Genomic DNA, 7,067 nt, shown 5'->3' on the forward strand with positions numbered 1-7,067 from the left:
CTTTTTTTTTTCTTTTTTTTAAGACAGAGTCTTGCTCTGTCGCCCAGGCTGGAATGCAATGGCGCAATCTCGGCTCACTTCAACCTCCACCTCTCGGGTTCAAGCAATTCTCCTGCCTCAGCCTCCCAAGTAGCTGGGATTACTAGGCACCTGCCACCACACCTGGCTAATTTTTTTTTTTTTGTATTTTTAGTAGAGACAGTGTTTCACCATGTTGGCCAGGCTGGCCTCGAACTCCTGACCTCAGGTGATCCACCTGTCTCGGCCTCCCAAAGTGCTGGGATTACAACTGTGAGCCACCGCAGCAGCCTATAGGATGTAAAAGGAGGGATGCCTGGATTGGCTGGGGGAGTTGGAGTGAATGACCCCAGGGTTGCTTCCTGCATGGGACAGCTCCGCTTGCTAGGAGGTGCTACAGAGGCTTGGGCCTGTTTCTCGTGTTCTTTTTTAATAGTTTTGCCATTTGATGTTATTGAATTTACTTTTCTAGACACTCTGACCTGGTCACAGCCAGAGACACTTGGAAATCCTCCATCTCCCCGGCATGGTCATGTGATGGTGGCAGCAGGGACAAAGCTCTTCATCCACGGAGGCTTGGCGGGGGACAGATTCTATGATGACCTCCACTGCATTGATATAAGTAAGCAGGGCATGGGGGCTTGTCTGTTTAAAATTGTTATTTTTATTTATTTATTTATTTTTAGACAGGATCTCTGTCTGTCACTCAGGCTGGAGTGCGGTGGCATGATCTCAGTAGCCTCAGCCTCCAGGACTCAAGTAATCCTCCTACCTCATCCTCCGCAGTAGCTGGAGCTACAGGTGTGTGCCACCATGCTTGGCTAATATAAAATTTTATTTTGGTAGAGATGGGGTCTCACCATGTTGCCCAGGCTGATCTCAAACTTCTGTGCTCAAGTGATTTTTTAGTGTGCTTTGAAAGAATATGGCCTTGCTTGGCCAGGTGCAATGGCTCATGCCTGTAATCTTAGCACCTTGGGAGGCTGAGGCAGGCATATCACCTGAGATCAGGAGTTTGAGACCAGCCTGGCCAACATGGTGAAACCCCGTGTCTACTAAAAATACAAAAATTAGCCTATTGTCATGGCACATGTGCCTGTAATCCCAGCTACGTTGGTGCCTGAGTCAGGAGAATCGCTTGAACCCAGGAGGTGGAGGTTGTGGTGAGCTAAGATTACGCCACTGCACTCCAGCCTGGGCCACAGAGCAAGACTCCATCTCCAAAAAAAAGAAAAAAAAAAAAAAGCCGGGCTTGGTGACTCACACCTGTAATCCCAGCACTTTGGGAGGCTGAGGCTGGGGGATCATGAGGTAAGGAGGTCGAGACCAGCCTGGCCAACATAGTGAAACCCCATCTCTACTAAAAATAAAAAAAATTAGCCAAGTGTGGTGGCACTCGCCTCTAGTCCTAGCTACTTGGGAGGCTGAGGCAGGAGAATTGCTTGAACCCGGGAGGCAGAGGTTGCAGTGAGCCGAGACCACACCATTGCACTCCAGCCTGGGTGACAGAGTGAGACTCCATCTCAGAAAAAAGAGCTGGGCACAGTGGCTCATGCCTGTAATCCCAGCACTTTGGGAGGCCAAGGCAGGTGGATCATCTGAGGTCAGGAGTTCGAGACCAGCCTGGCCAACATGGTGAAACCCCATCTCTACTAAAAATATAAAAATTAGCCAGGCGTGGTGGTGCATGCCTGTAATCCCAGCTACTCGGGAGGCTGAGGCAGGAGAATTGCTTGAGCCCAGGAGGCAGAGGTTGCAGTGATCCAAGATCATGCCACTGCACTTCATCCTGGGCGACACAGCAAGACTCCGTCTCCAAAAAAAAAAGAAAAAAAGAAAAAAAAAATCAGCCAGGCTTGGTGACAGGCACCTGTAGTCCTGGCTACGTGGGAGGCTGAGGCAGGAGAATCGCTGGAACCTGGGAGGTGGAGGTTGCCGTGAGCTGATTGCACCCCTGCACTCCAGCCTAGACGACAGAGTGAGACTCCGTCTCAAAGAAAAGAAAAAAGAAAAAGAAAATATAGCCTTGCTCTTATGTGTAGGTAACTTGACCAGCTGGCAGAATCTTCATCAGATTCTGTTACCTCTGGACAGAATACTAATAATAAAAAATCATAGCACTAAATAATCTCCTGAGTGCTTACTATGGACCCAGCCATTTATTGTCTCTTAACCTTCCAACAGTGCTCTCCTTTCATTACAACCCATTATGCTTTGTGTTGGCCTACTGGATTTCTTTCTGGTGTTAGCCATTAACCCATGAAGGATCTGGATAATGTGGATGTAGATGACTAGAGTTTCATGCTTTTCATGTTAAATGGTTGAAAACAGTGGGAAGAGGAAGGTTAGAGAGAACATGAGAAATATCCTTTAAGTATCTGAAGGGCTGATATGCTGTGGAGAGACCCTGGACTCATTCTGGGCAATTCCTTCAAGCTGTGAGGTCCATTATGGTAGGGAACTTGTCTATTTTGTTCTCCAGTACATTTCTAGCACTTAGCACAGTGTCTGGCAGATAGTGGGTGACAGGTACTTTCTTTTTTTTGAGATAGTGTCTCACTTGGTTGCCCAGGCTGGAATGCACTGATGCGATCTTAGCTCATGGCAGCCTCTGCCTCTCAGGTCAAGTGATTCTCCTGCCTCAGCCTCCCGGGTAGCTGGGACAACAGGCACGTGCTACAACACCCAGATAATTTTTTTATTTTCTGTAGAGATGAGGTTTCACCATGTTGCCCAGGCTGGTCTCCAACTCCAGGACTCAAGGGATCCACCCGCCTTGGCCTCTCAAAGTGCTGGGATTATAGGCGTGAACCACTGCTCCCGGCTCATACCTGTTATTGAGTGGAGGGATGAAGAAATGAACATGTTCTGCATTGCTCCAGACTACAAGAACTGGAACAATGGGCAGAAGGCATGGGAAGTCCTGTGTAGTGTATCGGGCTGACTTCCCAAGCCCTGAATTATCTGGCTCCATGACAGCTGAGGCCAGGGGACACTGGCTTTGTATTCTTGCATTGGCTAGAATTTTGGCCACACCGGGTGATTCTCCCTTCTTACTCTGAGATGCTGGGCCCCTGCCTTGCATTGACAGATGGAAACTATTTTTTTTTTTTTTTGAGATGGAGTCTCGCTCTGTTGCCCAGGCTGGAGTGCAGTGGTGCAATCTTGGCTCACTGCAAGCTCTGCCTCCCGGGTTCATGCCATTCTCCTGCCTCAGCCTCCTGAGTAGTTGGGACTACAGGTGTCCACCACCACGCCCGGCTAATTTTTTGTATTTTTAGTAGAGACAGGGTTTCACCGTGTTAGCCAGGATGGTCTCAATCTCCTGACCTTGTGATCCGCCCACCTCGGCCTCCCAAAGTGCTGGGATTACAGGTGTGAGCCACTGCGCCCGGCCGACAGATGGAAACTATTTACACAAAACCATTCCTTGCGGGCAGTCAGATGGGGTCTTAATGCTTATTTTTAAAAAGAGCCTTTTTCTGGTGTTAGGAACTACTTGTTGACTATTTTTCCTGCCTACCCAAGTAGTTCTCTAAATCTAAAATCCAGTGATAGCTTGCCTTATTTAAATGCTTGTTTTGGCTGGGAGCAGTGGCTCACCCCTGTAATCCCAGCACTTTGGGAGGCCGAGGTGGACGGATCACCTGAGGTCAGGAGTTTGAGACTAGCCTGGCCAACATGGTGAAACCCTGTCTCTACTAAAAATGCAAAAATTAGCCGGGTGTGGCGGCACGTGCCAGCTACTCTGGAGGCTGAGGCAGGAGCATCGCTTGAATCCGGGAGGTGGAGGTTGCAGTGAGCTGAGATCGCGCCACTGCACTCCAGCCTGGGTAACAGAGTGAGACTCTGTCTCAAAAGAAAAAAAAATGCTTGTTTGAAAAGATGCAAGTTTCCCTGCAAAAATAGGTGGGAAGTAGGCGCTAAGGCAGCACATTATCGTGTAGAGATTTTGGAGACACAGGCTTTGGAGCCACACCTAAGTGCAGTCTTGCTGTGCCACTTACAAGCTATAGGGTCTCGGACAAGTCTCTTTCCTTCTCTATTCTTGTTTGCTCATTTGTAAGAAGAAAGGGGAGGCCAGGCACCAGGCCATGGCTCCCGCCTGTAATCCCAGCACTCTGGGAGGCCGAGGTGGGTGGATCACGAGGTCAGGAGTTCAAGACCAGCCTGGCCAAGATGGTGAAACACCGTCTCTACTAAAAATACAAAAAATTAGCCAGACCCGGTGGCAGGTGCCTGTAATCCCAGCTACTCGGGAGGCTGAGGCAGAGAATTGCTTGAACCTGGGAGTCAAGATCAAGCCACTGCACTCCAGGCTGGGCAACAGAGCGGAAAAAAAAAGAATAAGAAAGGGGATAGGCAGAAGTAATAGAAATTTCATAGGGCTGTTATGAAAATTAAGTGAGCAAAATTTGTTGTTTAGCCAGCACTTACAAAATCGCTAAGGAACTGTATTTTTTTTTTTTTTTTTTTTTTGAGACGGAGCTTCGCTCTTGTTGCCCAGGCTGGAGTGCAATGGTGTGATCTCAGCTCAGCGCAACCTCCGCCTCCCAGGTTCAAGCGATTCTCATGCCTCAGCCTCCTGAGTAGCTGGGATTACAGGCATGCACCACCATGCCTGGCTAATTTTGTATTTTTAGTAGAGACGGGGTTTCTCCATGTTGGTCAGGCTGGTCTCGAACTCCCGACCTCAGGTGATCCGCCCGCCTCGGCCTCCCAAAGTGCTGGGATTACAGGCGTGAGCCACCGTGCCCGGCCCAGGAACTGTATTTAAAGTACACACACACACACACACACACACACACAGAGACAGAGAGAGAGAGAGAGAGAAACTGAGCTAATTCGAGGCAGTTAATAGTGAATGGTTGAAGGTGACTGTTATTATAAAGGTTGTATCACATTTCTGTGTGATCCAAAGACTGCCTACATCAGAATCGCCTGAGATTCTGGGAATCACTGAGCCCCTCCCTGCCTTCCTCCCTGGACTACCCAATCATAATGTCAGAGTTCCCCAAATAATTCTTATGTGCACTAAACCTCTCAGAGCTCTTGGTGAATGACTTTCAGTGATTGGTGTGCAAACTACAGTAGATAGATAAGTTTGAAAGCACATCTTAGCCCATGCTGCGCCAAAGCTCTTTCTTTCTCTTGGCAGGTGACATGAAATGGCAGAAGCTAAATCCCACTGGGGCTGCTCCAGCAGGCTGTGCTGCCCACTCAGCTGTGGCCATGGGAAAACATGTGTACATCTTTGGTGGAATGACTCCTGCAGGAGCACTGGACACAATGTACCAGTATCACACAGGTGAGCAGGTGTCCATGGGGGATCTTTAAACAAATCTAAACATTCTTTGAAACGTGATGCGGTGGCTCACGCCTGTAATCCCAGCACTTTGGGAGGCCGAGGCAGGCAGATCACGAGGTCAGGAGATCGAGACCATCCTGACCAACATGGTGAAACCCCATCTCTACTAAAATACAAAAAATTAGCCAGGCGTGGTGGCGGGCGCCTGTAGTCCCAGCTACTCGGGAGGCTGAGGCAGGGGAATTGCTTGAACCCAGGAGGCAGAGAGGTTGCAGTGAGCTGAGATCACACCACTGCACTCCAGCCTGGTGACAGAGCGAGACTCTGTCTCAAAAAAAAAAAAAAAAGAAAGAAAGAAAAAAGTGATGCAGTGCTTCCAATTTGGTTCCTCTATATCTAAATCCAAAAGAATGAAAACTCTGTAGGGGATGACATCAGGAAAGCAGCAATGCTGCCATAAGGTTTTTTTCCTTTTACTCCTGTTTGTTAGGACTCGGCTGCTACAGTAAATCACTGAGCATTTCTAGAAATTTCATTACTTTTTAAATTTTATTCAGATTTTGGCTTTCACTATCTGGAAATTGTTTTTTTTTTTTTTTTTTTTTTTGTCTGAGATGGAGTCTCACTCTGTCGCCCAGGCTGTAGTGCGGTGACGTGATCTTGGCTCACTGCAAGTTCCACCTCCTGGGTTCACGCCATTCTCCTGCCTCAGCCTCCCGAGTAGCTGGGACTACAGGTGCCCGCCACCATGCCCAGCTAATTTTTTTTTTGTATTTTTGGTAGAGACGGGGTTTCACCGTGTTAGCCAGGATGGTCTCCATCTCCTGACCTCGTGATCCACCCGCTTCGGCCTCCCAAAGTGCTGGGATTACAGGCGTGAGCCACCGTGCCCGGCCTATCTGGAAATTTCTTAACATGAAGCCTTTTCCCTCCCCAACATAGAAGAGCAGCATTGGACCTTGCTTAAATTTGATACTCTTCTACCCCCTGGACGATTGGACCATTCCATGTGTATCATTCCATGGCCAGTGACGTGTGCTTCTGAGAAAGAAGATTCCAACTCTCTCACTCTGAACCATGAAGCTGAGAAAGAGGATTCAGCTGACAAAGTAATGAGCCACAGTGGTGACTCACATGAGGAAAGCCAGACTGCTACACTGCTCTGTTTGGTGTTTGGTGGGATGAATACAGAAGGGGAAATCTATGACGATTGTATTGTGACTGTAGTGGACTAATAAAACCCACATTTTTATTACCTGTCAGTTACTTTCAGAATAGTTAAGTAAAACATTAGCTGTTTTATACCTCCAAAATATCTTCTGCATTATATATCTGTTTTTCTCCTACTTTGGTAGGTGAAGAAACTAATGCAAATAATTCTTATGTGCACTAAACCTTGCTATATTGCCTCTCAGAGCTCTTGGGAATGACTTTCAGTGACTGGTTTGCAAACTGTGGTAGATAGATAAGTTTTGCCCAATGCAAAAACCTCCACTGCATTAACATAAAAGGCTTTGGGCCAGGCTTGGTGGCTCACGCCTGTAATCCCAACACTTTGGGAGGCTGAGGAGGTGGATCACCTGAGGTCGGGAGTTCAAAACCAGCCTTACTACCATGAAGAAACTCCGTCTCTACTAAAAACACAAAATTAGCCGGGTGTGCTGGCCCATGCCTGTAATCCCAGATACTCAGGAGGCTGAGACAGGAGAATCGCTTGAACCCGGGAGGCGGAGGTTGCGGT

General features: G+C 48.1%; 1 protein-coding gene across 9 annotated transcripts in view; it reads left to right on the forward strand.

The window, feature by feature from the left end:
• RABEPK (Rab9 effector protein with kelch motifs) overlaps positions 1 to 6,742 on the forward strand; it is a 33,620-nt gene extending 26,878 nt beyond the window's left edge. For all 9 annotated transcript variants that reach the window (NM_005833.4, XM_017014177.2, NM_001174152.2 and 6 more), the window contains 3 exons: positions 491 to 640; positions 5,177 to 5,326; positions 6,269 to 6,742. In NM_005833.4, the coding sequence (NP_005824.2) occupies positions 491 to 640; positions 5,177 to 5,326; positions 6,269 to 6,561 (593 nt within the window). In that variant the 3' untranslated portion in view covers positions 6,562 to 6,742. The remainder of the gene's footprint in view (positions 1 to 490; positions 641 to 5,176; positions 5,327 to 6,268) is intronic.

Source organism: Homo sapiens, chromosome 9, assembly GCF_000001405.40.
Source record: "Homo sapiens chromosome 9, GRCh38.p14 Primary Assembly".
Classification (NCBI taxonomy): domain Eukaryota; kingdom Metazoa; phylum Chordata; class Mammalia; order Primates; family Hominidae; genus Homo; species Homo sapiens.